The sequence below is a fragment of the Homo sapiens genome, chromosome 12 (genome assembly GCF_000001405.40).
Source record: "Homo sapiens chromosome 12, GRCh38.p14 Primary Assembly".
Lineage (NCBI taxonomy): Eukaryota > Metazoa > Chordata > Mammalia > Primates > Hominidae > Homo > Homo sapiens.
This window is the reverse complement of record NC_000012.12, coordinates 130,017,155-130,043,085: the sequence shown is the minus strand read 5'-3', so window position 1 is coordinate 130,043,085 and position 25,931 is coordinate 130,017,155. Positions and strand designations below refer to the sequence as shown.

The 25,931-nt window shown below is 46.5% G+C and overlaps 2 long non-coding RNA genes across 2 annotated transcripts, besides 1 other annotated feature; both read left to right on the top strand.

The window, feature by feature from the left end:
• The first annotated feature begins 743 nt into the window (after positions 1-743).
• On the top strand, positions 744-9,274 carry LINC02418 (long intergenic non-protein coding RNA 2418). The gene is made up of 3 exons (NR_024457.2): positions 744-859; positions 6,069-8,064; positions 8,176-9,274. It is a non-coding gene; the product is annotated as a long intergenic non-protein coding RNA 2418 (long non-coding RNA).
• Positions 18,699-19,200: an enhancer, noted in NCBI's record as "H3K4me1 hESC enhancer chr12:130508431-130508932 (GRCh37/hg19 assembly coordinates)". NCBI's record gives its function as "activates a minimal SCP1, AML or CMV promoter by ChIP-STARR-seq in naive H9 embryonic stem cells {active_cell/tissue: H9 hESC(naive)}" and the evidence as "EXISTENCE:reporter gene assay evidence [ECO:0000049][PMID:30033119]".
• On the top strand, positions 24,091-24,947 carry LOC124903087 (uncharacterized). Its single transcript, XR_007063614.1, has 2 exons — positions 24,091-24,220; positions 24,884-24,947. It is a non-coding gene; the product is annotated as an uncharacterized LOC124903087 (long non-coding RNA).
• Positions 24,948-25,931: the final 984 nt, after the last annotated feature.

The following is a 25,931-nucleotide window of genomic DNA, read 5'->3' as shown; positions in this document are numbered from 1 at the left end:
TATGTGCGTGTAGGTATGGGTAAATGTATGCATATGTGTGCGTGTGTTCATGTATGTGCGTGTAGGTATGGATAAATGTATGCATGTGTGTGCACGTGTGTTCATGTATGTGCGTGTAGGTGTGGGTAAATGTATGCATGTGTGCATGTGTGTTCATGTATGTGCGTGTAGGTGTGGGTAAATGTATGCATGTGTGTGCGTGCATATGCCACATGCATGTTTGCACATGGGCTTGCATGAACATGTGTATGAGTGTGTGTATGCATGTGTGTATGCATTTGCACCAGTGTGTTTGTGTGTGGATGATATCCGCTCCTGGCAGGTCGTGTTTTCTGGGCCTCATTCGGCCCAGCGGGAGCTCCTCGGCTGAGGCCGTACTGGAGGGGGCTGGAATCCTCCCTGGGGAAGCGCGTGGCTCGGGGTGTTGGCCTGGAGTGAGCTCAGCAGGAATTTGGGTCAGAGGAGCTCCTTGGGGGTGGGGACAAAAGGATCCACACAAGCCCTTGAGGAGTGCGGTGGGGCTCGCGTGTCGGGGCTCGCGCGGGGGGCGTGGGGCACCTGGGGACATCTCTGAGGTGGGAGCCGCGGGAGCGCCCAGGCGCTGTTTCCAGCCAGTGCAGCCTCCCCGCGCGGGTCCCGGCTTCGAGAGACGCGCGTACGCCGCCCCCTAGTGGAGACAGCGGGCCCTGCAAGCTGCCGCGGAGATGCTCTCCCGGTGTCTGATGGGAGAATCCTGTGCCCGCAGCCCTGCGCTTCCCCAGGTGAACCGGGCAGGAGCCTGTTGGGAAGGCAGCGACCCACATCTGTGTGCACCTTTGTGGATTTCAGGTTCCGGACGCAGGCGACCAAGCCAGAGCCAGTAAGCAGCCTTGCCTCCAGGATAATACCGCTTATCAGGCTTGACTCTGTGCGCCTCTGAGCCAGGGGTGTGCCCAGCAGCTGGGAGCAGACTCTGCGGTCGGAGCGTGGACGCGTTCTGTGCAGCTCTGCGCCCTGGGGTCAGGCTGTGCTCGCCTCCCTCTGCCGCTGCTTCCCCATTCCAGAGGGATGGGTAGATATTAGGGGTATTTTGAGGATTCAGAGAGAATGCATGTAGAATGCCTAGCTCAGGGTCAGCCCTTAGAACCAACATATTTTAGCGACTATTAATCTTCATGACAACTCTCATTCCTCTTGTGTCCCCTACTTTACAGATAAACAAACTGAGTCTTCCTGAGATTAAATATAATAGAGATAATAGATAATAGATCTAGATAATAGATCGCCTAAACTCACGCTATTGGGTAAATGAAAGCCTAGGTTGGTCCCCAACACTAAATGCTTTTTTCTCAAAGGATGGTCTCTTTAACTTCCTTCTTTGGGCTTATATTCAGACAGTTTTCTTCTTTAGGTTGAATTTGTTCTGTGATCCCTACATTGCTCACCCTGGAGACTGACAGGAGAATGAAAATTCCATGAGTAGGGAATAGTTTTGCTAGAAAATGTTTAATAACAAGTTCCAGGCTGGGGGTGGGATGTGCATATGATATATACATCTGTGTGTTGCATACCTACATCTATATACACATATATAATAAATTTTACTAATATAAAAACTGTGTAGTACACAAATTACAAACAGTAAAAAGTATACAATCATATTTAGTATACATTCCATGAGAGACAGTTAATCTTCATGGAATGCTTCTGGTTATGTTTGCCAAACTCGTGAATCTTTAGCCAATCTCAGTTGCAATCGGTGCAAAAGTGTTGTTCCAAATTGAACTATAGTTAGTATTTGCATTTGATCAGAGGGCTTTTCACAGCCTGCAAGGAGGCTTTTTTTGGCAATTAGTTCATCATCTGTGCCCACCCTTCAGAATAGAAGCACCTCAAGAGCAGGCACCCAGTGATCAGTGTGAATTTCTAGTGCCAAAGGTTACTGGTGCAGGACCCCTGGTTGTTTAGATGCCTGGGTCTGTGCTGGCTCTGCCTCTTATTATATTGGGAAACTTGGGCAATTTATTAACTTTCTGTGTCTCAATTTTCTCATCTGCAAGTGAGACTAATAGTCCCTATCTGGCAGGGTTGCTGGGAGGATTAACTGAGTTGATCTGAGACCAGTGATGATAATGGAGGCTGGCATATAGAAGTGCTCAGTAAATGTCAGCGATTGTCATTTTATTGTAAAGAAACTCTGCATTTAAAAAAGTTAAATTGACATTCATAGAACATAGTTAATCATTTTAAAGCGAACAGCTCAGTGGCATTTAGTGCATTTACAATGTTGTACAGCCCCCTCCTCTACCTATTTCCAAAACATTCTCATTACCCCGAAAGGAGACTCTGTACCCGCTAGTGGTCCTTCTCCATTTCTCCCTGTTCTCTGTCCCTGGCAACAATGAATCCACTTCCTGCCGCTGTGGCTTTATTTAATTCAGGACATTTCATATCAATGGCATTATACTCCATGTGGCCTTTTGTGACTGGCTTCTTTCACTTAGCGTGGTGTTTTCAAGGCCCCTACATCTTGTAGTACATATCAGAGCCTCATTCCTTTATACAGCTGAATAATCTTCTACTTTACGGATATATCACAATTGTTTATCCATTCATCCATTGTTTCTACTTTTTTAAAAGCTTTTTAATTGATGCATAATAGGTGTACATAGTTTTGAGACATATGTGGTAATTTGATACATTCAAATAATTTGTAAAGATCAAATCTATGTACTTGGGATCTCCATCATCTTAAATATTGTCTTCATGCTGGTACCATTCTATTTCTTCTCTTCTAGCTATTTTGAAATATGCAAGAGATTATTGGAAACTGTAGTCACGCTACTGATCTACCAAACACTAGGTCCCATTTCTTCTATCAAACTCCATATTCGTACCCACTAATCCATCATTTTACTATTGTGAATAGTGTTGCTATGAATGCGTTGTGAATATGTTGTGTTTGAGTATCTGTTTTCCATTCTGTTTGATCTAAGCCTAGGATTGGAACTGCTGGGTCATGTGGTAATTCTACATTGAACTTTTTGAGGAACCACCAAACTGCTGTTCACAGTGGCTGCACTATTGTCCACTCCCACCGGTCGTGCAGGAGGGCCCCACTTTCTCCACATCCTTCTTGATACTTGTTGTTCTCCGCCTTTTTGAGTAGCGTCATCCTAGGAGATGTGAAGTGGTATCTCATTGTGGTTTTGATTTGCATTTCTCTCGTGACTTAATGGTGTTGAGCACTGAAATGGTTTGTCCGTGTCCCCACCCAAATCTTGTCTTGAATTGCAATCCCATAATACCCATGTGTTGTGGGAGGGACCCAGTGGGAGGTAATTTAATCACGGGGGCAGTTACCCCCATGCTGCTTTTCTTGTGATAGTGAGTGAGTTCTCACAAGATCTGATGGTTTTATAAGGGGCTTTCCCCTCTTTTGTTCGGCACTTCTCCTTGCTGCTGCCATGTGAAGAAGGATGTGTTTGCTTCTGCTTCCACCATGATCGTAAGTTTCCTGAGGCCTCCCCAGCCCTGGGGAACTGTGAGTCAATTAAACCTCTTTCCTTTATAAATTATCCAGTATCCGGTATGTCTTTATTAGCAGTGTGAGAACAGACTAATACAAGCATCTTTGCCTGTGATTATTGGCCATTTGTATATCTTCTTTGGAGAAATGTCTGCTCAAGTCATTTGACCACTTTTTTTTCCCACTGGATTGTCTTTTTGTGCAGTGCATTCTCGTGGAGTGAATGGACTGCCTTTGTCCTGCTGGTCTGCATGTGAACTCCCAGGCTCTGATTCCTCTTCATTCAGTTGTGACTCCAACCTCCTGAGTCCCTGCCAACCTGAAGCACCCACGATGTCACTGGCCTCTATGGCACTCCTGAGGCAGGGAGTAGGTGGCAATGTTATCAGCCCTGCCTGGCTCTCACTCCCCCACATCTGGGAAACAGGCTAATAGCACCTTGCTTACAGGGCTGTCATTATAATGGACCAGAGTAAGCCCATTCCCAGATGGGAACCTGAGATACCGGCTGCTTTGGAATGGCTTTGCGTCCCAGTGACACCCATTAAATCCTTAATATTTCTAAGAGCTCCGAGATGCTAAGATGAAAGGAATGGTGTCAGGCAAGCATGTTATTATCTGGATTATTACTTCCCGAGGGAGGACACTTCCTCATTTTCTTCCATGCAGGTGGGACAGGTATAGAGAGATGCCCAATTTGAAGGCTGATTTGTCTCTTCAGTTCTCATCTAGAAAGACTTTTTTTTTTTTTCCTGATCCAAACCATCAAAGCTCCCTAGCAGGATTGAGGAGGTCTGAGAAGCTGGGGTCACTCACCAGTTTACATGAAAACCGACCTGAGAAGCTGGGATCGTTCACTAGTTTACATGAAAACAGACCTGGAGGCCCTCAGCTGCTGGGAGCCCAGGCTCCTGCCTGCTCTCGGGGCCCCAGATCAACCCACCTCCTAGGGCGGGCTCTTTATGGAGACCTCACAACCACTCCTCATTCGGGCTGGCTTTGTTTTGATTCTCCTGACAACCTTCTCTTTTTGGACTTTAACAAGGCATATATACTAGTTTGTTGATTTCATAGGTAAACTTATGGGTGTAATAACCATCTTCTCTGCATATATATTTGAGATGGAAACTAGTTAAGGTTCAGTTTAAAAAATATTATTGAACAGCTGCTATGATCAGGCTCTGGAGCCAGCAACAGTGATAAGTCAGACATGGCTTGTGTTCTCAGAAAGCTTATGATCTGGAGGGAGGAGACACGGGATACAGAGCAAACACATGAGGACATCTGTAAAAAGTGGTAGTGATGAGTGCTACCAGGAAACATGGAACAGGGCCGGTGACAGGGGAACATGGAGGGGAACAATTAGACGGAGACATTGGGGAGGGCTCCTGGAGGAGGAGATGTGAGAGCTGGCACCAAAATCAACCCAGGAGGCCAGCCACGGTGGGATGCAGGAGAATGGTGAGATGCGGGAGAATGGTGGTATGCGGGAGAGGGATTCCTGGGAGGATGGAAGAGCCAGTTCACAGATCCTGAAGCAGGAACAGGTTTGATGATTGAGGCTGCAGACAGCAGGTCTGTGTTGTCATACACAGTGAGTTGAAGAGGTAGACAGGGCCCACATCACGCAGGGCCTTGTTGAAGAGACACGATTTTGCTCTAAGATACATCAGTCAGCCCTTGCTGTTGTTAATAGAAAAACTTTAGCCAAATTAAATTTAAAGGAGATTAATTGAGCAAAGAACGATTCACAAATCAGGCAGTCTCCTGAGCCAGGCTAGGCCCAGAAACTCCAGCACAGCCATGGGGCGGAAGAAGATTTATCAACAGAGAAAGGAAAGTGAAGTACAGAAAACAGAAGTAAGGGACAGAAACAGCCAGATTTGTCAGAGGCATTTGAACCAGAGCAACTCCCTTTTGAATAGGGGCTGGGTAAAATGAGGCTGAGACCTGGTGGGCTGCATTCCCAGGAGGTTAAGCATTCTAAGTCACAGGATGAGATGGGAAGTCAGCACAAGATAGCAGTCATAAAGACCTTGCTGATAAAACAGGTTGCAGTAAAGAAGCGGCTAAAACCCACCAAAACCAAGATGGCGATGAGAGTGACCTCTGGCTGTCCTCACTGCTACACTCCCGCCAGCGCCATGACAGTTTAGGAATGCCATGGCAACATCAGGAAGTTACCCTATATGCTCTAGAAAGGGGAGGCAGGAATAATCCACCCCTTGTTTAACAATTCGTCAAGAAATAACCATAAAAATAGGCATGATAAGAGATTAGTTACAGCTCTGTGTTTGCATGATTTGGACAGTTTGAACAGTTGGCTACCTTTCCCTGGCCAAACTCCTCATCCCAGTGCCCTCCCAGGAGCTGCCCGATGAAGATGCCATCAGCATTGGGAGCCGTGCCGGGTGCTCTCTGGGCCGCAGAAAGAAACGGGGCATTAATTGACATTCTTAGCAAGCAAGTAGGGTCTCCCCTAAAGTGGGGCCCATCTTGAGGTGGGGCCTGCATGGACTGTGTCCAGCTTGCAATGCACGTCATCTCCCATTTCTCCCAGGCGCTGTCATACGCAGAGCACCTGCCGAGCCATGTGACGTGCTGCTCTCTGCCAGCCCTGATCGCCTTCCTTTCCAGCAGGACTTGCGCTTCACACTGGACCTTGAGGCCCCATGGAGATCTGCCATTTTGGGCAGGTTCTGCTCACAGTGCCAGTAACTTCACCTAGGAGAAGAGCGACAACTTCAAGGCCGCATGACCCATCTGATTGTCATCACACAGGTCCCCGCAGGAGAATTTCCATGGCGTTTCTCACTCTTTGTTTGCAAAGAATTTCTTTTTTTATCGTTTTCTTTTTCTTTTTCTATTTTCTTTTTTCTTTTTTTTTTGAGACAGAGTCTCTCTCTGTTGCCCAGGCTGGAGTGCAGTGGCATGACCTCGGCTCACTGCAACCTCGGCCTCCTGGGTTCAAGCAATTCTCCTGCCTCAGCCTCCCGAGTAGCTGGGATTACGGGCACACACCACAACGCTCAGCTAATTTTTGTATTTTTAGAAAAGACAGGGTTTTACCATGTTGGCCAGGCTGGTCTCGATCTTCTGAGCTCGTGATCCACCTGCCTCGGCCTCCAAAGTGCTGGGATTACAGGCGTGAGCCACCACACCCAGCCTAAGAATTTCTTAGAATTAATATCTGCACTTGGCCCCACATCCTCTGAGTGATAACTTAGAACTGTCACTTTAATTGTTGAGAGAGGATATTCAGAGAATAGTGGGTGATTTTACAAGCAAGGATATGTTTGGGGAGCATGTTCCCGGTGCATTCTCAGGGTCTCGTGCATTCTTTTAGACATTGAAGACATCCTGATCTCCAGTGGAAGCAGAGCCCCAGTCATACACTTATCCACCGGGGACGAGTTCCAAGACCCCCAGGGAATGCCTGAAAGCTCGGGTAGTGCTTACCTCTATGGATGTTGTGCACAAATTTATTTTTCCCTCTTTACAACTTCATAGATTGAAGGTTCGTTCTTACCAAAGATCTTAGCAACCTTAGCTTATCATTCCTTTTATTTCCTGATTAAGTGGAGAACTTTCACCTTTTCACTAAAAAAAAAAAGTGCTTTACGGCTGCCTTTGCCACGTGCACATGGTCTTTTGGGACCATCCTTAAGTCAAATAAGGGTGACCTGGATGCAAGCACTGTGATACAGAGAAAGTCCAGCTCACCACCAAGATGGCTGCTGAGCCGCTGGTGGGCGCGGAGTGTCGTGTCTGCAGCGTGAACATGCCGGGCAAAGGAATAATGCATGTCAGGGATAGGGTGGAGAAGGACTGTGCCAGGCTTCATCACACTACTCAGAATGGCACACAGTTTAGAACTTATAAATGATTTATTTCTGGAGTGATCCACTGCATATTTTCAGACGGTGGTTGATCGTGGGTAACTGAAAGCAAAACCTGACTGAAAGGGGCTGCTGTGTTCATGTCAGCAACGCTGATGCCCTCGAGGCCAGAAGAGTAACCACCAATCTGGTACCTGAGCACCTGGCTGTAAGTCCACCCTCCATTTCTGGCCAGGGCCGAGGAATTCTCTCTTTTTCTCTTTATTTTCCTCTTGATTTGAGAAGGTCAACTCTGAGCATGCTCTAAACACAAATCAGCATCTCTACACTTCTTCGGCACCAGGTGTTGCTACTGTCTTTCTGATTAGAAAAAAAGAAATATCCAGGAATTCTGGAAGACAGTGATTGATTTGCAGCTATGCTGCAATGGAGCTAAGAATCATTAGCACAACCCGTGCTGGTGTTCGACAAGATGCCCAATCAATTCATCCGATGACAGGTGCGCTGTGTCTGCGAAGCGCGAAGCCACGGAGTGAGGTGCTGACCAGGCTCCACCAGGAGCAAGGAACAAGACTCCCCAGGGGCTCCTGGTCCACAGAAGGCAGGGACGCCCACAAACATACCATGAGTAAATAGTTCCAATGTGAAGAAGACTGAAAATGCCACAGAAGTGTGAGCCCACTGTTTTGAAATTCTTTCTGCTGAAGGGATTGAGAAGTAAGTGGACTCCTAGATTTTCTTTGGAAATGCCACCGAAAGGGATAAAAGTAGGGGAAACATTATTTTAAATACACTTTTTCTAAGCATTTTCTCCATTTCTTTTAAAAGGAACTCTTCCATAAAGGAGCATGACCGAGCCATGAGTTATAATATATACATGCATATAGAAAGAGGATGTGAATACAGTTGCAGAAGGGCGTCAAAGCCAAAAACACACAGGGAATGACTTGAGGAAGCTGAGGACCAAGAGCAGTGCTAGCCATGCCAGTGACTGTGGTCGCTGAGAACTGGATGATGGATGTTTGAGTGACCGTCAGGAGGATCAGCATGGGACCAGGAGGATCAGCATGGGACCAGGAGGATCAGCATGGGACCAGGAGGATCAGCATGGGACCAGGAAACAGCAGGCGAGTGAATGTGAACTCCACTCTCAACAGGGAGATGACGTGGGTCTCGGAAACCTACAGATCTGAGTGCTTGCTGTCAGGTCATGGCAGGGCTCTGACTGCACTGTGGAGGGAACATCTGTGTTTTTGTCCTCCTGGAACCTAGTGCCCCTTTCCTGGAGGCAGCATCCTATTTGACCTGTGTGGGTCCAACCCCACCTCTCTCCTGTAGCAGTGGCATGGGACCCGGGGCTGGGCCATTCGCAGCATTGCCACAGGCAGCAATGGTGATTGATCTAGGAGTTGATCATTGATCCTAACTGGGTGCTCAGGCCAAGGGGATTGATTCTTGGTATTTTTTAATCTCTTTTTTCCACTGGAATTATAGCTAATATGATGAAGCCTAGATATACTGCGTATCTGGCTTTTAGACAGGGCAAACCTGCCTAGAAATGAAAATGAAGTCACCACCTGTGAAAGCAGAAACAAGAGCTTGAGAGAGACTGAGTCCTGGTGAGAATTTCTGAACCCCTTGATCCAGCGATGCCTGAAGCCAGAACTACTTGTAAACTTTTCAGTCATGCAATCCTGTCACTTCTGTTTGTTCTTAAGTGCATTTTGTATGGTTTCTGCCGCTGACCACGGAAACGTCCTTCACTAACAGGGAAGCAGAGTTACCCCATTTGAGAGCCTCAGAAGGAAGATGGCATTCATGCAAAGGAAGCATGCGTTTGCTCTCACTTCCTGAGAGAAAGCCTGAAAATGAAGCCAATCTCATTTTCTTTCAGAGATGAGTCTCTTGATCAGAGAATGCCTCAGTTCCCTGTATCTAAATTTTAGCAAGTGAGAGAATGCCTCAGTCCCCTGTATCTGAATTTTAGCAAGCGAGAGAATGCATTTAGGACAAGCAACAGCGATGGCTCCCGTGTGTTCTTGGCTGCTCTGTTTCTAAATGAAGATTCACCTGGAGGCAGCCTTTGCTGCAGGGACACCCAGATCTCACCTTGTTCTTGTTCTTTTCAATCATTTTAGCAAAGGCTCAGCCTACTGATCCGATTTAGAGATGAGCCATGAAAGCAGATATTTAGATAATATTTTCCCAACTGCCTGGAGCATTAGGTTAGAACTAGTGAGATAAAAATATAATGAAAATAATAGAAAGCTTTGACCCTCAGATTTAAGAAAAAAATCAATGGTGAGGAAGTTCAACAGAGAATGTGGTTCAGGGCAGAGAGGTTGATGTCTAAACCCACACCTCTTAGGAGTGTGATATGGCTGCAAAGTCCATCCAAGAGCCCCTTAGACAGCTCCCAGGTCTGCCAGAAAAAAGCAATTCATCTTTCCTATACAGGAGTTTAAGGTCATTTTGAAGTGGATGAATTGGGAAACATTATTTTTGTGAATTGAATATATTGTAGGAAATCTTGTATGCTCTAATCTGCTAGTTAATATACTAATCAAGAAAAGGTAATAAAACCACATAGCTAAAAAGAAACATATTGATTTCAGCGACTTCTGCTAAAGCCAGATTATGTGAAGATTAAATCTAAAATGTCAGCAAAATAATACTGAATCGATCTTTCATCATCTGTGTGGCCTGTTTTATTGACTCATTTCTTTATTGTTATTATACCAATGAAGCATGGAAATGCTGTCATGGAAAAATCCAAATGGCTTATTGTGTTGCCAAGCATTTTATTAGAGTCCCTTGTCAATTTTTCCTTGAAAATAAAGTTATTTTTCAGGAAGAATGCCTTGGCTATGTCCATAATTCTAACCATATCAACATCGTTTTTAGGTTGATTGATTTTAACAGTGTTAGATCAATGAGGCATAGCTCATAAGTTAATGATCACAAGGTTGGGGAAAATTGATCTCTTCTGAAAAACGTGTTATCACACCTAGTGATTGATTAGTGTTCTACAACAATCTTCCATGCAGCATAATCTTCTGTGAGAAGATTCCGAGTTTGGAGACCACGGGGAAAGTGAGTAACGCACTTGCCTCAGGGGCAAAATTTAAAATGAATGAAAAAACCTAAGATGCTCAAAATCTAACATTTTGAATAAGGGCTGATTGAGAGCTGTGCCAGGCCGGAACCTCAGGCAGCAAGAAAGACAGGGAAGCAAACTCACCACAAATATCTTCAGAGACGACTTCTCTGCTTGTCTCACTTTCGATGGGGACAGCAGTCATGTTTGACAGTTTCTCTTGACTGGGGGTGATCTTAAATGGTTTTAAATTAATCTAAGTGAAGTAAAATGATAATGAATTCTATCTTGGTATAAAACTATATTTACGTTTTTTCTGTAAGTGTTCATATATCTGCTTTTCAAGTTTTCAATATTTTTAACTACTTTAATGTTCTGGAAAAAAATTAAAAACATATAAAATTATGTTTAGGAAGCTCATTTTTTCTTTCCCCTTCAGGCAAATTCATGACAGTGAGACTGAAGGTTGTAAGTGCATGCTTCATGGAATAAATAAATCTTTCAAGAGAAGGAGAAAGTTCTTCGTCTCCTAAGTAACATTTGATGCCAAAACCCAGAAAAAGTATATATTGACCTTAAATGTTACGCTAACTGATATGCAAACATTTACTAACCTTCTAATCTTACAAATAGGGCTTTGCGTTTTCAAAGCCTGTGCCAACTGACAAAAAAGCTACATCGATTGCTTTTTACTCCCTCAAGTGATTAGTAACTGTGGCCAGGAGTTTTGACCTTAATTTGAATCAAGGTTAAGCCAAAGATATTTGTGGCGTTTTTGATCATCTAATTTTCCCACCAGCAGTGAGGTAAGAAACAGCATTCGCTCTCCGAGTGCCCGTTCCGAGAATCGCCACTAGAGGGCAGCAGCAGCGGCTGTTTCTCAAAGTTGACCTGCAGGTGGACCCAGAGACCCTGATGGGAAAAGCCCCTGGTGTTCAGCCTGGAGGTGGACAGAGGTGTGGTTCTGCTACCCTGTTCTCTCACAGCCTATGACGCTAAGCTCAAATCTATTATTACACTTATTAGTATAGCACTCTGTTGCTTGAGAGCCATGCATTATGATGGTAATAAATTTAAACCCAAAACATCAGGAGTGTAACCTCATCCCCACCTCTGCTTGCTGTGGGGTCTATAGTTTGTCAGTTTTGTTAACAAAAATAGGAAAAGGATGCAAAACTTGCCCCTCTGCCGCAACCTTTGGTGTTGCCAACACCACTCTGAGAAGACACTATGATCCATTATTTTTTGGTTTTGGCACTGAACTTTCTATTGCAAAGTGGGCACGGAGCAATTTTCGGAGGCTTTTTTGGGGGGAGATGCGGGAAGGGAGGGTGCTGCCTAACGACCTCCTATGTTAACCTGGGCGTCTTCTCCCCAGAGCCCCTGCGCGACGCTTGGCTTCACCAGCATTGTGATCGGTATTCCGATGAGCTCTCAGGACTCCCGGTGATGCCAGGGAGCCGTCCTGAGCAACAGCTGAAATCTCCTTCTGCAGCCTTCACATAGGAGAAAGCCGTCCTTGTGATGCTTCTGTTCGCCGTGGAAGGGATCTGAGTCTGCAGCAACCTCAAGTCTTGCCTCCCCAGAAAAAAGAATCTGAGGAGGGGCACAAGATGGGAGAGAGAGAGGCAAGTTTTAGAGCAGGAGTGGAAGTTGATCAAAACACTTTAGTGCAAGAAGGAAAGGAAAGTACACTTGGAAGAGGGCCAAGCAGGTGACTCAAAAGACCAGTGTGCAGCTTGACTGTTTGACTTGGGTTTTATTCGTTGGCTACTCCCGGGGTCTGGTGTCTCTTCCCCCACTCCCAGGATCTTATTGGGAAACTGCTGATGAGTTTCACCTGTTTTCTATCTATTAGGAGCCTGCCTTTCCCTGGTGTTGGCTGTGATCAGTTATTACTTTCGAGAGACAGTTAACAACCTCCTGACCACCACCTGATGGCCCCCAACACTCCTGGTGTATGTGTGTCTGTGTGGCGGGGAGCCCTCTCCTGCCTGCTCATGCCCGACTAGCTACCCACTGTAATGTTCCTACAGGCAACATCATTAGAGAGGGGATGGAAATTGTTTTTGCATTTGAGGCCAGTGCACAGTTTCTAAATCCACAGGTGCCCAGAGGCAGTTATGGGGACCATAGGCGTGGCTTCCTGGTCCCAGAGTGTAGTATGTACTGTTTCCCTCACCCCTAAGGGGAGGCACTCCCTGCCTTGCCTGGTTCTGTGGGGTTGTTCTAGGAGCTATTTCTGGAGGTCTTGGGTGCTGTCCTCAACTACAGTCCTTCCACTGCTTTTATAAACTGCCAATTCCCTTTATTAAATTCCCTTTCTCCCTAAAATAACTAAGGTGGCTTCCGTTTCCAGCTGTTAAACAATGACAGTAATAGGTATTTAGCATAGATCAGGGGTTGGCAAACTTTTTCTGTATACAGCCAGACAGTAAATACTTTAGGCTTTTGGGGACTTACAGTCTCTGTCACAGCAAGTTAATTCCGCCACTATAACACATTAGATGAAGGGGCATGGCCGCTTTCCAATAAAACTTTATTTACAAAAGCACGCAGCTGGCCCATGGGTTGTAATCTGCCAACTTGTTGCATAGAATACTGAGTGTTTTACTTTCTAATGTCAATGTGCTGTTGTTACCATGTTTGCATAGGTGATACAGCCAACTTTATCTTGTTCTACCCCCAAGTGATTCCAGACTAGCCAATAGGAAATTTAAAATCCACGAGCAAGCATCTTCTCATGGGTTCTGTCATTTATTTCTTCATTTATATATTCATGTGATCAACGGCAGTTTCGGTCACCGACCTCACAATCCGTACAGTGGTAACTTGCCCAGATTCATCAGTCAGGGTGGTCTTTTCTGGTGGTGAAAGGTCATGACAGGTTCCCAAATTCTGCAACGAAGGAGCAGAAGTCAAAAGATTGTTGTTTGATGGTTTGTGTATCCATCTCCAGCAACCATAAGAAAGTGCACAGTGCATCGGAGGCTTGCGATAGACAGGTGTTGAAGAGCGAGTGATTTGCAACCTAAGCCTTTGGACGGGCATTTGCAGACTCAGAGTGGTGTGGGGTCAAGCGTCGTGTGCTGGTGTGCCGGCACACCTTATTTCCTCTTTGAAAGGGCCTCCCCCATGGTCAGTTCCCCACCACACCCTTCCCAACAAAGGGAGCGCTGTTGGAAAGAGTGAGGAGGGGAGGGGCCGGGTGGAAAATTGACCACGGGCAGGCCCTTCCTCCTTTGTGTCCAGACAGCCAGATGGACACAGGCCTGCCTTGGCTGCAGGGGCCACGACAGGTGTGGAGATGCCTGCGGGTGAGTGGACGGTGGGTGGGCTGCCTTGTCATTTTCCACGATCTCTGATTTGGGGAGAAAGTGGTCCTCCTTTGGGATTATTAGCACCTCCGCCTTTGAAACGCAGGCCGGCCTCACATGGGGCTCGCTTCCTGAGTCAGGTCTAGGAACCGTGGGGCTATGGGACCTCTGCCTCCTGTGTGACCCTTGTCATCCCTAACACCCATGAGCGTGGGCCCTTCAGCCAGCAGCCCACGTGCCCACACTCTGCTGTGCCCCCACTGAGCCCTGCACAGAGACGCCGTGCAAGCCACCTCCCCTGGGGTCCACTGAGGGTCCCCTGATGACAGCAGCCAGGATTTTGCTTGTGGAGCATCTACCAGGAGTGACACCCCAGCCTCTAGGAGTTTTAGCCAGTGCAGGCCACCCTAGCCTGTATCCTTCAATATCATGAGAGAAAAACATAAGCCCCAGAGAGCCAGATTCGAGGACTGGATGTGTGGGGATGGTGGGGGAGAGAATCCTTGTTCCAGAATTTGAGATGGTACCAAATGGAGCCAGCGCCCCATTCCCAGTGATCTGGGATGTCAGTAACCTCCCCAACTGCGCTAATTGTTAGTGTTCCCTGTATATCGTGTGTTAAAAGATAATTCTCAAAAAAGGTAAAATCGTGACTGTCATGCAGATTTACAAATGAATGCATGTTAATGATTACATTCTATTCTGCTCACTAGTAAATGATGAAACCCGACAGATGTTACCACCAGTTCTAAAGAGAATCCTAAGAACAGACACATTTATAGATCAGGAATGCTGAAATGTCTGCTCAAATGAAGGCAAGCTTGATTCTTTCAGAGGAAGGAGGTCAACTGGACGTCTACCGACCGTCCTCCTCTTATAGGATCTCTAGCCTTTATAGGATTTGCATTTCTATATGAATGATTTTTGCATTTCTGCCGGTTATCTTCAACTTAAAGATTTGTAATATAGCTCAAAGACAATGAAAGACTATAATCAGATGGGTGTCCTCTGTGACAAATAATAGTTTTCCATTGAAGCACAAACTTTTTTCTACATACAACAATTAGACAGCTAGTATTTAATAAATACTAAATTAATCCATGTGAACTTCTTAGGATAGATCCGAACTCATTTTCTGTCATAAAATTGCTGAACACAGAGCTGGCCTCATAGGTACTCAGGAAATAGTGAATTAACAAACAGATAAATGAATAAATGAATGGTGACCGTCCTTGACTTCCTGTCCAGCTCATGCTGACTTCCAGATGACCAGTTAGTTGTTACCAAGACTAATGAAGCCATCTCCAAGAGGACAAGGAGCCTTTCATAGAAACACAGCCTAGGGATGTAGAGGAAGAATAAACTATGCATTTATTGAAAATATTTCAGAGATGGTTAAGGCTAATGAACACTGCTGGCTGTTGCCCAAAGCCCCTTGGCCTGCATTGCTGACATTTGCTGATAATTAATACTTTATCAAATAAGGAAGTGAACAACTTTTTAAAAAGTTTCTGAGTATATTCACTATTAGTTACTGTCCACACACGGCAACATGGCTCTGGAGTTTCTGTGCCAAGTCAGACATCCTGATTTTTTTAAATGAACTTTATTGATGTATAGCTTATATACAATAAATCTCACCTACTTCAGGTGAGTCTCACCTGAACTCATTAATTGCAATGATTTCATGAGTTTTGATTAACATATACAACTCAGGTAACCATCCTAATAAAGACATAGAAGAACATTAGCATCACCCTTAAAGTTCTCTGTGCCCCTCCATCACCCCCGTTCCCAACTGTAGATAACTCCCTATCTCTTTTCTGCCATTATAGATTAGATTTGCCTTTGCCAGAATTTTAAATACATGACATCATAGAATACACACCCACTTCTTGGTCTGGTATCTTTTGCTCAGAATAATGTTTGGGGCTCCATCGATGTTGGTGTATGTCACTTCTTTCTTTGTTTACGCTGCCCCAAGTAGACAACTTTGGCATGACTTAGCTCCCATTGATGAAGTCACTTGAAGATGTCACTTATTCGGTTTTATGTTAATTTTCCCTGCAGACATGCTACAGGCAGCTCCCCTTGGCCAAGCTCATGAACTCCGGAGGGACTAGAGTATACAATCTGCACAGAGAAGTTCTTGTCTGGCTCCGAGTGTCCGTATCGCGTGGCTGTATCATTTCAGAAAGCGTATTCAAGGAGCGGTAAATCCAGCATTTATTCTAATTCCTTCACATTTTATGGCAGGGCTGAACCAACCATAAAACAGATTGACAGATATAGGGAGAACGAAATCCTGTATTTTACAAGCTAACGACTTTATTTCATTTCATGTCAACGCCAAGGGTTGATGAATGGTTCTGGAATTTCTGAACTGAGACGTTCCCCCCAGCTCCAGAGATGGAGCATTGCGAGAGCAATGGTAGGAGTCCCAGCCCAAGCCATCTAATCTCCCCAAATTACTCCCTATTCATTTTTCTTTGAGATGGTTTATTTAATGAAGGCTGGATACTCAGGTCTCCGGCTCTGCAGTGCCACCTAGAGGCTAAGCTGCTCCAGGTAAGTTATACGAGGATGAGACGAGTTGCTCTGAAACCTCAACTTCTTGTAGGATGAGTTTAGATATGAAATTAACTTATATGACAAATATTTACCCAGCACCAATTATACCCGGGGGACTGAACTAAATGCTTAACCTCCAAAGATGCATTGCACCTGAAGGGCTAAAAGTGCAGCCAGAAATCTTTACTTTTACAAAGGAGATGAGAAGCATCTTGATTGGAAGCTGTGGTTTGCAAGTAACAGAAAGTACACGCCATCGCCCCCTCAAGTTATTCTATGGGTTCAATAGAATCCTAGTGAAAATCCATTGAGGAAATGGATAAGCTTACTTTAAAAGTTGTGTGGCTTGAGCCCAGGAGTTTGAGACCAACCTGGGCAACATCAGGAAACCCTACTTCTACAAAAAAACAAAAAACAAAAAAATTAGACAGGTGTGGTGCCACGTGCATGTAGTCCCAGCTGCTCAGGAGGCTGAGGCAGGAGGGTCGCCTGAGCCTGGGAGTCCGAGGCTGCAGTGAGCCATGACCCCACCACTGCACTCCAGCTTGGGCAACAGAGCAAGACCCTGTCTCAAAAACAAAAACAAAAATGCATGGAAGAATACACGTCCACAGATGACCAAGGAAGAGTAAACAGGGTGAGGAGAGGGCGTTGAAAGGAGAGACACAGTGAGGGGAAGCAGTGAGAGGCCTAAGATGAAATATTAAACTATTACCCTGCCATACGATGCAAATCCCTTTCTTATTTCTCCCTCAAATTGCCCTTAAAACACCATTTCCGTGTTAATCTTTCTGGAGTTGGTTTTTACTTCTCGGGAAGTAGGTGGGTAGGGGATTAAGGTTATGATAAAGCTCTGAACCTGGTCTCAAGGTGGTGTCTTTGAGACCAGCTTTTGAATTTTTTAAATTGTAAATTAAAAACAAAACCAAAAACACACAAAAAGCAACTTCTCCTTTAATCTTCCATGTTCATTTTACAAACCTCATTAGTCTACATGTGAATCTAGCCAACTTTCACATTATGCTTGAAGAAAACATTAGCAACTTTGTTAATTAACTTTCATCAAATGTTTTCAACAGCATATGTTAATGGAATAATCTCATCTTTCAAAAACACTTCCGTTTTTCTTACTACTTAACATACTTAACTCTTAAAAGTTGAATAAATCTTAAATTCTGTTAAACATCTCAAATCATGTAACCAGTTTTAAACTTCACATTTTCTTAAACTTTTCAGCTTAAAATTACTAACCCCAAATCAAATGCTCACTCACATATTTTCAGCTGGAGTCAGAAGACTATTGTCAGAAACTCTATACCAAATATAGAGCTGTTCGTTCATTATTTCTTTCTCTTTCTTTTTCTTTTTTTTTTTTTTTTTTTTTGAGACAGAGTCTCGCTCTTTTGCCCAGGCTGGAATACAATGGCATGATCTCAGCTCATGGCAACCTCCGCCTCCCGGGTTCAAATGATTCTTCTGCCTCAGCCTCCCGAGTAGCTGGTATTACAGGCGCCCACCACCATGCCCAGATAATTTTTGTATTTTAGTAGAGATGGAGTATCGCCATGTTGGCCAGGCTGGTCTCAAACTCCTGACCTCAGGTGATCTCACCTCAGCCTCCCAAAGTGCTGGGATTATAGGCATGAGCCACCACACCTGGCCTTATTTTTCTTTTAAGAGACAGGATCCCACTCTTCGCTCAGGCTGGACTGTAGTGGTGCAATTATGGCTCACTGCAGCCTCAACTTTCTGGGCTCAGGTGATCCTCCCATCTCAGCCTCCTGAGAAGCTGAAACCACAGGCGTGCACCACCAGGCCAGGCCAAGTTTTTGTATCTTATTTTTAGGGACGGGGTCTCACTATGTTGCTCAGGCTGGTCTCTAACTCCTGGGCTCACACGATCCTCCTATGTTGGCCTCCAAAGTGTTGGGATTGCAGGCGTGAGTCGCCACGCCTGGCCATAGAGCTGTTCTTATAGGTAACATGACATGATACTATGATTTCAATAGTTGCCTCTGTTCCACATATAATTCTAAACTTTCCTAAGGTTAAAAAATACTTCCACGACAAGGAGACAACAGTAAGCCCCAAAATGAAGTTGGAGTTGTCTTTTCATCAGAGGTTGAAGTCATGATCTTTGGAGCTGCAGATATTCCGGGAGGCCTTTTCCACGCCTGGGAGAGACGAGTAGAGACTCCGTGCAACCGGCTGCCAATGAGGACCCAGGGCCGTGCCCTCCAAGGGGCATCTTGCACCCTCTTCCCGTGACTCAGGTCTCTGCGTTACCCAGTTCTGGCCAAGGTGGGGAGGGTAGTGGACCGGCTTCTTCCCTAGATTAACACAACCGATTCACTCACTGCTTCATTGTCCTCGGATTTTTTTTCTTTTGCATCTTCCTGTCTGGCTGGGCCAGGATGCTTAGGGGTCCTTAATGAAAGCAGAATGAATCCTGCATGTCCCCAGTAGCTTTGACCAGCCCGATAGCGGCAGCTTCCGGGTGCTGCCCATGACAGGTGAGTGGGGGTGACTCCGGAAGCTCAGCTTACAGGAGGGAAAAGAAAATCGTCCGGGGCACCGTTTCCCTCCTCTCTCTTCCACCTCTCTCTGCAATGCCAAGCCCCCACTTGCCAAAAGAGGAAAATCCAATCTGATCAGATTCAGTTCCAGATAGAATTTGGTTTTCTTTTCTAGCATATGGGTGAGCTACTTCCGTGGGGAGGGGGGGCTTCCTTCTTTCCATTTCCTGTAGCTCAGTCACAGAAGTTGCCTTTCCTTCTTTGCATACACACCTGAATATTCTGAATCCAGGATTCAGATTTGGAGCCTAGGGGCAGGTGGTTGGGCTGCTCTGTAAGCCTTGGTCCTGACCCCTGTGCTGTGCTGTCACTCAGCCTAGGTGGAGTTAAAATGGTATTCTTTGGTAACAGGTTCTTGTTAAGAATTTAGGAGTAAGGAGTTTTAAAATAGGAGGGCAATAGGTGAGCTAGGATTTGCAAATGCTTGGGGGGTCCTGCCTGTGACAGTCACTCATGAGTCCTTCCATCTCTCCCCCCTCCCTTCCTCTTCGTCTCTCTTTCTGTCTCTCTCCTCCCTCCCTCTTCAGGAATGCCCCCCATTCACAAGTCAACAGACACGGTATCTTTTTCATCCCAACCAAGAGCAAATAATTAGAAACAGTTTAAGAGTGTGTGTGTGTGTGTGTGTGTGTCCTCCCTAATCTCTCCAATCCATCCAACTCTCTCCCTGCCAGAGTGACCATCCTGGAAAGGAGACCCGATAAGGGCAGTGTCCCATCCAATGCCACAACATGGCCCCCGCAGTTTCATTGGTCCAAGTGTGTCCAGAATTGGTGGGTTCTTGGTCTCACTGACTTCAAGAATGAAGCCATGGACCCTCGCGGTGAGTGTTACAGCTCTTCAGGTGGCGTGTCTGGAGTCTGTCCCTTCTGATGTTCAGATGTGTTCAGAGTTTCTTCCTTCTGGTGGGTTCGTGGTCTCGCTGGCTCAGGAGTGAAGCTGCAGACCTTCACGGTGAGTGTTACAGCTCTTAAGGCAGTGCGTCTGGAGTTGTTCGTTCCTCCCGGTGGGCTCGTGGTCTCGCTGGGCTCAGGAGTGAAGCTGCAGACCTTCGGGGTGAGTATTACAGCTCATAAAAGCAGCGTGGACCCAAAGAGTGAGCAGTAGCAAGATTTATTGCAAAGAGCGAAAGAACAAAGCTTCCACGCTGTGGAAGGGGGCCCGAGCGGGTTGCCACTGCTGGCTCGGGCAGCCTGCTTTTATTCTCCTATCTGGCCCCACCCACATCCTGCTGATTGGTAGAGCCGAGCGGCCTGTTTTGTCAGGGCGCTGATTGGTGCGTTTACAATCCCTGAGCTAGATACAAAGGTTCTCCATGTCCCCATCAGATTAGTTAGATACAGAGTTTCCACACACAGGTTCTCCAAGGCCCCACCAGAGCAGCTAGATACAGTGTTGATTCCTGCATTTACAAACCTTGAGCTAAACACAGGGTGCTAATTGGTGTGTTTACAAACCTTGAGCTAGATACAGAGTGCCGATTGGTGTATTTACAATCCTTGAGCTAGACATAAAGGTTCTCCACGTCCTCACCAGAGCAGCTAGATACAGAGTGTCGACTGGTGCACTCACAAACCTTGAGCTAAACACAGGGTGCTGATTGGTGTGTTTACAATCCCTGAGCTAGATATAATGACTCTCCACGTCCCCACCAGACTCAAGAGCCCAGCTGGCTTCACCTAGTGGATCCCGCACCGGGGCTGCAGGTGGAGTTGCCTGCCAGTCCTGCCCCCTGCCCTCGCATTCCTCAGCCCTTGGGTGGTCGACGGGACTGGGCGCCGTGGAGCAGGGGGTGGCACTCGTCGGGGAGGCTCGGGCTGCACAGGAGCCCATGGAGTGGGTGGGAGGCTCAGGCATGGCGGGCTGCAGGTCCCAAGCCCTGCCGCGTGGGAAGGCAGCTAAGGCCCGGCGAGAAATCGAGCGCAGCGCCGGTGGGCCAGCACTGCTGGGGGACTCAGTACACCCTCCGCAGCCACTGGCCCGGGTGCTAAGTCCCTCATTGCCCGGGGCCAGCAGGGCTGGCTGGCTGCTCCGAGTGCGGGGCCCACCAAGCCCACCCCCACCCGGAACTCCAGCTGGCCCGCAAGCGCCACACGCAGCCCCGGTTCCCGCTCGTGCTTCTTCCTCCACACCTCCCTGCAAGCTGAGGGAGTGGGCTCCGGCCTTGGCCAGCCCAGAAAGGGGCTCCCACAGTGCAGTGGAGGACTGAAGGGCTCCTCAAATGCCACCAAAGTGGGAGCCCAGGCAGGGGAGGTGCCGAGAGCAAGCGAGGGCTCTGAGGACTGCCAGCACGCTGTCACCTCTCACAAGCTAGGGTTTCCCAACCTCAGCACTATGGACATGTAGGCTGGATCATTTTTTGGTTGTGGGGCTGTCTTGTGCATTATAGGACATTAACAGAATAGAATCCCTGTCCTCTACCCATTAGATGCCATAGCAACCTCTCCCCCAAGTTGTGACAATCAAAAATGTCTTCAGACATTGCCCAGTCTGGCAAGGAGAGTGGGAGTTGGTTGCCTGTAGTCCAGTGTCACAGGTAGAGTGGGAGTTGGTTGCCTGTAGTCCAGTGTCACAGGTGGAGTGGGAGTTGGTTGCCTGTAGCCCAGAACCACTGATCTATTGGTTGCTAAATCAGTAGGCCTCTGTAATTCTGGCACTTTGGGAGGCCAAGGTGGGAGGATCGCTTAAGACCAGGAGTTTAAGACCAGCCTAAGCAATATAGTGAGACCTCATCCCTACAAAAATATAACAAGCTAGCCAAGTGTGGTGGTGTGGATCTGTAGTCCCAGCTACTCAAGAGAGAGGCTGAGATGAGAGGATCGCTTGAGCTGCGGAGGTGAAGGCTTCAGTGAGCCAGGATCGGGCCACTGCACTCTAGTCTGGGTGACAGAGTGACACCCTGCATCAAAATCCAATCAATCAATAATTTATCAATCAACATGGGGGTGCAAAATAAATCATAAATAAATAAGAGAACAGGTACAAAATAATATGCAATACACTTATTATGAGCAAGAGGGAGCTCTGTATGAATACATGCAGTCATATGCTTGGAATATTTCCACAAGTCTATGTAAGGATCTGGTAGTCTTTGAGAGGAGAAAGAGCGATGAAAAGTTTGGAGAGAGTCACTTTCTTTTCACTGTCTGCTTTTTGTATAAATCAATTGTTCTTACACCATGGGCTTATATTCTTTTTTTTTTTTTAAGAGACAGGGTTTCACTCTGTCACCCAGGCTGGAATGCAGTGGTGATGGGATCACAGCTCACTGAAGCCTCAACCTCCTGGGCTCAAGTGATCCTCCCACCTCAGCCTACTGAGTAGCTGGGACTACAGGCGTTTGCCACCATGCTCAGCTAATTTTTATTTTTAAAGTTTTTGTAGGCTGGGTGAGGTGGCTCATGTCTATAATCCCAGCACTTTGGGAGGCTGAGGTGGGCAGATCACCTGAGGGCAGAAGTTTCAGACCAGCCTGGTCAACATGGAGAAACCCCTTCTCTACTAAAAACACAAAAGTTAGTGGGCATGGTGGTGGGCACCTGTAATCCCAGGCTGAGGCAGGAGACCGAGGCAGAAGAATCGCCTGAACCTGGGAGGCGGAGGTTGCAGTGAGCCAAGATTACGCCACTGTACTCCAGCCTTAGTAACACAGTGAGACTGTCTCAAAAACAAACAAAAAAAAGTTTTTGTAGAGATGGGGTCTCACTATATTGTCCAGGCTGATCACAAACTCCTGGGCTGGAGCAGTCTTCCTGCCGCAGCCTCCAAGTAGCTGGGATTACAGGCATGAGCCACCATACCCAGCACTGCATCATTTTAAAAGGAAAGTTTCCTTTAACCTTCTCTCCAGATACCCGCCCTCTAAGCCAAAGCTGGCTGATCACATTAATTTGAAATTATATTTTATAACTTTGGTTAAATTACAGTTTACAAAATTTTGTTCTTTGCAAATTAATTTCAAAGATTTTCATTTCCAAGGAGCTAATGTCCTCTATAATTTAATGAGATTGATTATTGTATTTTTAAAAAAGTATTTACTTATTTTTAAGTGACAAATACAAGTTATGTTTATCATGTACAAGATTGATAATTATAATTTAACCAAAGAGCTGATGACTGTTTCACCGGTCTTCTCTCCTAATTGCACATATGTGAATAAGTTCTTGCTAAAAATTCCTTGAATGTATGTTTCCGGAAGAGTGTTAAATTGAATGGAAGCTCCTGAGGCCCTGGAACCTCATCTCCCGTCCATGTCAATGCTCAAGCGGAGCTGGGCTGCCTTACAGTTCCTCAGTGTGGAGCTTCCCCTCCCATATTCCAACCAAGGATTTGGTGAACAATGCGTGTGAGGAGTCCAACTAGGGCTCTGTTTCTTTCTTTCTTTGTTTGTTTGTTTTTTGAGACGGAGTCTTGCTCTGTCGCCCAGGCTGGAGTGCAGTGGCGCGATCTCGGCTCACTGCAAGCTCCGCCTCCCAGGTGCAAGCAATTCTCCTGCCTCAGCCTCATGAGTAGCTGGGATTACAGGCGCTCGCTACCACACCCAGCTAATTTTTGTATTTTTAGTAGAGACAGGATTTCACCATGTTGGCCGGGATGGTCTCAATCTCCTGACCTTGTGATCCACCCGCCTCGGCCTCCCAAAGTGCTGGGATTACAGGCGTGGGTGCCCGACATAGCTAGGGCTCTTAATACAGAACCAGAAAGGCCATGGATAACCTGTCTAACCTTGTGGATAGGATGGCCGAGGGGACACTTGTCATTCTTGGCAGGTCAGCATCTATTTCCTCTTGGTAACAGCCCCCTAGTTTCTTTTTGGGGACCCACGGCTCCATCATAGTATACGGCTCTATGGCTGGGTCATTCCTGCTGCCGACTTCCCACTCTGGTCCTTAAAGGAGCTAGATCCTCCCTCTCCCCGCAAGACCCAGGAGGATGCTGGTGAGGATGCCCTTTCACTGTGGATCTTGAATAAATAACACGGGCATATAAGGGAATGGGAAGGCTGCCGATGGCCAGGAAGGCACCTGTGCATAGGTGACAGTGTCCTATACAGGTATTAAATGATGCTGTCACCTGTCCAGGTGAGAGGCAGCCTCTTCCTCCTCGTCAGCATCCTGAACCTCCCTTAGTCCTTTCATATCTTGTCGATTTCAGGGCCTCCAAATCCTTCCTGGTTGTCTTCAGCTGCCTTCCCAGAGTCAGGTCTGTGGCTTGCCCCTATCTGCAGTGGATGGACAGTGTTTATGGGCTCATGATCAGAAGACAGTGAAAAGGCCACAAGGAACGGAAAAGCAAAGTGGACACGAAGACAGGTGCATGCTCGGATGGCCTGGGCTTGCCCCTGGAGTTCCGTTCCGCGGGGCCTCTGATTGGCCGCCCTCCTTGCCTGGAAACACCACCAGCTAGCCGAATCCCTTCCCTGGGGAGGTGTAAGGACCATCACACGGGCTTCCGAGGAAGATGCCCAGGTTCAGATCCCAGCTCTGCCATTTACCAACTGAGCGATTTTAGAAAAGCCACATCACTTCTCTTTTCCTCAGTTTTCTCATCTGTAAAATGGGAAAAATAATAGTACCTGCCTTCTAAGGTAGCTATGAGAATTACATGAATTAATACCCACACATTTCCCCAGCACAAAGTAAGCATTGTATAATAATTATTATTATTACACTGGTAAAATATTTGGGATGTGTCTGGTACATCTTTACCTTCAGTATATTTTATGATTCTGATTATTATCATCATCATGATCGCCACCATTACCATTAGCTCCAGGGCAAGGCCCGTGACGGTGTTGCTTTATTTGCATCACTGATCACTCATATATTTTGTTTTTTCCATCTCAACAGATTCCCTTGTCAGATGAGTCAGATGACTCATAACTCATTTCACAGAGAAAACATCAAGCCTGTCATTGTGTCTGGCTGCGCACACATTAAGAAGTGCTAAGCTTTTCTTTTTCTTGTTTTTCATAGACTCGGCTGGAGAATCACGCCTGGCATTCTCTGTAATTTGAATAAACCTGAAAGTGCACCGGTAGAAAAGTAGATTTTTAGATACTTTGTGTCTCTCATCTCACTTGATTCTCAGACAGACTGCGCGAAGCAGGCACCGTCACTCTCCACGGGATGATACCGAAGCCTGGAGCCTTTTGTTTGTAGCCCAAGGTCGTTTAGCCAGGAAATAGCAACGCTGGGACGTAAAGTGCCTTTGTTAGACTCCCCAGAAGAGGTCCCAAATCCACGGCCCGTGGCGCTGAATACAAACTGCAGATGTGTTTTGCTTGGCTCATACGGTGTTTAAAAACATGTCAGGCCAAGATTCGAAAACCAGGGTATTTTAAACGAAAACCCATTTCCAGCTTCTTTTGAAAAATGGGAAGAGCTGGCAGCCCCAGGCTTGTGTCATTCCGCGGAGCTGAGTCTCAGCTGCTCCATTCGCAGGGCCCGGTCCCCGCCACGCCCCGCGGTCTTCCTGGCACCAAAGCCGAGTATCCGCAGCTGTTCATCCTTGTGCTTCGGCCGCAGCTCCTCTTAGAAGAGAAGAAGCTTTCTTTATGTCCCTGTTTCTATCAACAACGAGAAAAAGAGATGCAGTTCGAGACAGCTAGGTGTTACCAGAAAAATGCGAGACAGCAAAGTTCTTTCTCTGTGGAAGGGAAGAGTATTCCTGCGTGTTTAATACGCAGACGGAGGGTGTCTGTGCAGAAACCACCATCCGGTTCCTTCATCTGTTTACGTTGCTTGCCTGCCCCTACGGGCATGTATGATTTTTCCTCTTATTGTGAATCCTTTAAATTAATTACTGACTCAGAGAGGTGGCTTTGCAAAAGGGCAAGGGTGGGAGAGGCATTTTACAGTGGATCAAATATGAGAACCCATGTCCTATTAATATTCAAACACTGACCAGCTGCTGTGGCCAAGCATGAGCCCGTCAGAGCCCGCTCGTAAGAACCGAAGCTGGCGGCTGAAATCTGGCACCACTGTGACAGGGCGGACGGAGTGGAGATCATCCCCGATGGCG